This window comes from Homo sapiens, chromosome 6 (assembly GCF_000001405.40).
Source record: "Homo sapiens chromosome 6, GRCh38.p14 Primary Assembly".
Classification (NCBI taxonomy): Eukaryota; Metazoa; Chordata; class Mammalia; order Primates; family Hominidae; genus Homo; species Homo sapiens.
In genome coordinates, this window is record NC_000006.12 from 73850848 (window position 1) to 73854249 (window position 3402).

General features: G+C 48.9%; 1 annotated feature.

Annotated features, from left to right (window-relative positions):
* Positions 369-952: an enhancer, noted in NCBI's record as "H3K27ac-H3K4me1 hESC enhancer chr6:74560911-74561502 (GRCh37/hg19 assembly coordinates)". NCBI's record gives its function as "activates a minimal SCP1, AML or CMV promoter by ChIP-STARR-seq in primed H9 embryonic stem cells {active_cell/tissue: H9 hESC(primed)}" and the evidence as "EXISTENCE:reporter gene assay evidence [ECO:0000049][PMID:30033119]".

Below are 3402 nucleotides of genomic sequence, written 5' to 3' on the forward strand. Positions count from 1 at the left end.
ACCATCCGATTTCTCAATCTTTTCCCCACCTTTCCCCCTTTTCTATTCCACAAAACCGCCATTGTCATCATGGCCCGTTCTCAATGAGCTGTTGGGTACACCTCCCAGATGGGGTGGTGGCTGGGCAGAGGGGCTCCTCACTTCCCAGTAGGGGCGGCCGGGCAGAGGCGCCCCTCACCTCCCGGATGGGGCGGCTGGCCGGGCGGGGGCTGACCCCCCACCTCCCTCCCAGACGGGGCGGCTGGCCGGGCGGGGGCTGACCCCCACCTCCCTCCCGGATGGGGCAGCTGGCCTGGCAGGGGCTGACCCCCCACCTCTCTCCCGGATGGGGTGGCTGCCGGGCGGAGACGCTTCTCACTTCCCAGATGGGGTGGCTGCCGGGTGGAGGGGCTCCTCACTTCTCAGACGGGGCGGCTGCCGGGCGGAGGGACTCCTCACTTCTCAGACGGGGCGGCCGGGCAGAGATGCTCCTCACCTCCCAGATGGGGTCGTGGCCGGGCAGAGGTGCTCCTCACATCCCAGACGGGGCAGAGGCGCCCCCCACATCTCAGATGATGGGCGGCCGGGCAGTGACGCTCCTCACTTCCTAGATGGGATGGTGGCCGGGCAGAGACGCTCCTCACTTTCCAGACTGGGCAGCCAGGCACAGGGGCTCCTCACATCCCAGATGATGGGCGGCCAGGCAGAGACGCTCCTCACTTCCCAGAAGGGAAGAGAGGCTGCAATCTCGGCACTTTGGGAGGCCAAGGCAGGCGGCTGGGAGGTGGAGGTTGTAGCGAGCCGAGATCACGCCACTGCACTCCAGCCTGGGCACCATTGAGCACTGAGTGAACGAGACTCTGTCTGCAATCCCGGCACCTCGGGAGGCCGAGGCTGGCGGATCACTCGCGGTTAGGAGCTGGAGACCAGCCCGGCCAACACAGCAAAACCCTGTCTCCACCAAAAAAATACGAAAACCAGTCAGGCGTGGTGGCGCGCGCCTGCAATCGCAGGCACTGGGCAGGCTGAGGCAGGAGAATCAGGCAGGGAGGTTGCAGTGAGCCGAGATGGCAGCAGTACAGTCCAGCTTCAGCTTGGCCTCAGAGGGAGACCGTGGAAAGAGAGGGAGAGGGAGACCGTGGGGAGATGGAGAGGGAGAGGGAGAGGGAGAGCAAATGATGTATTTTCAAAAGTTTATCTTCAAGCTCACTAATTATTTCTTCTGCTTGATCATTTCTGCTACTAAGAGACTCTGATGCATTATTCAATATGTCAATTATATTTTTTAACTCCAGAATTTGTTTGATTCTTTTAAATTATTTCAATTTCTTTGTTAAATTTATCTGATATAATTCTGAATTCTTTCTCAATATTATTTTGAATTTTTTTGAGTTTCCTCAAAATAGCCATTTTGAGTTCTCTCTGAAAGGCCACATATCTTTGTTTCTCCAGGATTGGTCCCAGGTACCTTATTTAATTCATTTGCTAAGGTCATGTTTTCCTGAATGGTCTTGATGCTTGCAAGTGTTTGTTGGTGTCTAGGTATTGAAGAGCTAGGTATTTCTTGTAGTCTTCACAGTCTGGGCTTATTTGTACTTGTCCTTTTTGGGATGGCTTCTCAGGTATTCAAGGGTACTTGGGTGTTATGATCTGAGCCATATCTGCATTAGGGAGCACGAGCACCTCCAGCCCAGTAACATTGTGCTTCTCGCAGACTTAGTGGTCTTGGATAAGGTCTGGAAGAATTCTCTGGGTTGCCAGGCAGATACTGTTGTTCTTGTCACTTACTTTCTCCCAAACGTCTTTCTCTCTGTTCTGAGTCACCTAGAGTTGAGTGAGGGGTGACCCATGTACTCCTGTGGCCATCGCTGAGACTGTACTGGGTCATATCTGAAGTCAGTACAGCACTGGGTCTCACCCAAGGCCCACTGTAACCACTACCTGGCTACCACCTATGTTTGTTTAAGACCACAGGACTCTACAGTTAGCAGGTGGTGAAGCCAGCCAGGCTTGTATTCTTCCCTTCAAGGTAGCAAGTTACCCCAGCCCCTGGACAGGTCTAGAGATGCTATCCAGGAGCCAGGGAGTGGAGTCAAAAACCTTAAACATCTGCCTTTTGTTCTATTTTACTACAGCTAAGCTGGCATTCAAACCATGAGACAAAGTTCTTCCCATTTTTCCTTCCCCTTTCCACAGGCATAGGAGTCTCTTCCTATGGCCATCACCACCACAGGCCTATGGAAAGTACTGGCAGGCTATGGCCAATGTTCTCTTAAGGCCCAAGAGCTCTTCAGTGAGCTTGTGGTGAATGCTGCCAGGCCTGGGACTCACCCTTCAGGGCAGTGGACTCCTCTCTGGACCAGGACAGGTCCAAAACTGTCATCCACAAGCCAAGGCCCAGAATTGAGGACCCCAAGAGCCTTCTTGGCATTGTACTCCACTGTGGTTGAGCTGGTATCTGTATCCTGATTTCTGCTTCTTATAAGATGTTCTTTTTTGTATAGATAGTTATTAAACTTGGCTTTCCTGCAGGGGGGACAATCAGTGGAGGCTTCTATTCAGCCCTCTTGCTCTGCCCCCTCCTTTGCCTTCTATGTTCGCACACTCTCCCATTTGTCAGATGCATTTTCTGTTTCCTTTGAATTCTCATTTCCTTTTGTATATTCTTTATGTGCAGACTTGAGGTATTTTGGAGGTATTATCAGTAAGACTTGGGAATAGATGGGATGTAGGAAGTGAGGAAAAGAGAAGATTCAAAAAGTCTGGCCTTACCTCTAAATATGAAGAGCCCAGAAAAAGAAAAAATGTCTGGCCTTAGTAACTAGGGGATAGGAGAAAGGCACTTATTGAGATGAAGAAAGACTGAGAAAGTGAAAATGTGTGTGTGTGTGTGTCTGTGTTTATCAAGGATTCATTTGAGTGAAGCTTATTTCATCTCATTTCATCCCAGTGAGGAGAACCAGTAGATAGTCAGGACCTGTGAGTAATCTGCCAACGCACAGAATAATGACGTATTAACTAATTATTCTTATATAACACTCTACTCCTATTTTTCTTCTTTTGTAATTTAGAGGAATTTAAACATTATTGAGGAATTCAGAAAAATCCAAAGGAATTCATACTGTGAACATTGGTGTGGGCCATAGAATTTTACTTTAAAAAATTTTTAATTTTGAAATAATTATAGACTCACAAAAAGTTGTACAATAGTACACAGAGGTCCTGTATGCCTGTCATCCAGTGTCCCCCAACAGTGACATCTTATCTAACTATGGTGCATTATTGAAGGCAGAACATTGATTAGCAGGAAACAGTTAACTGGACTACAGACCTTACTTGGCTTCAAGTTCTTTTTACAAGCATTTATTTTTACATGTTTTTTTGTATAATTTTAGGACATTTTCATCACAGGTACAGATTTAT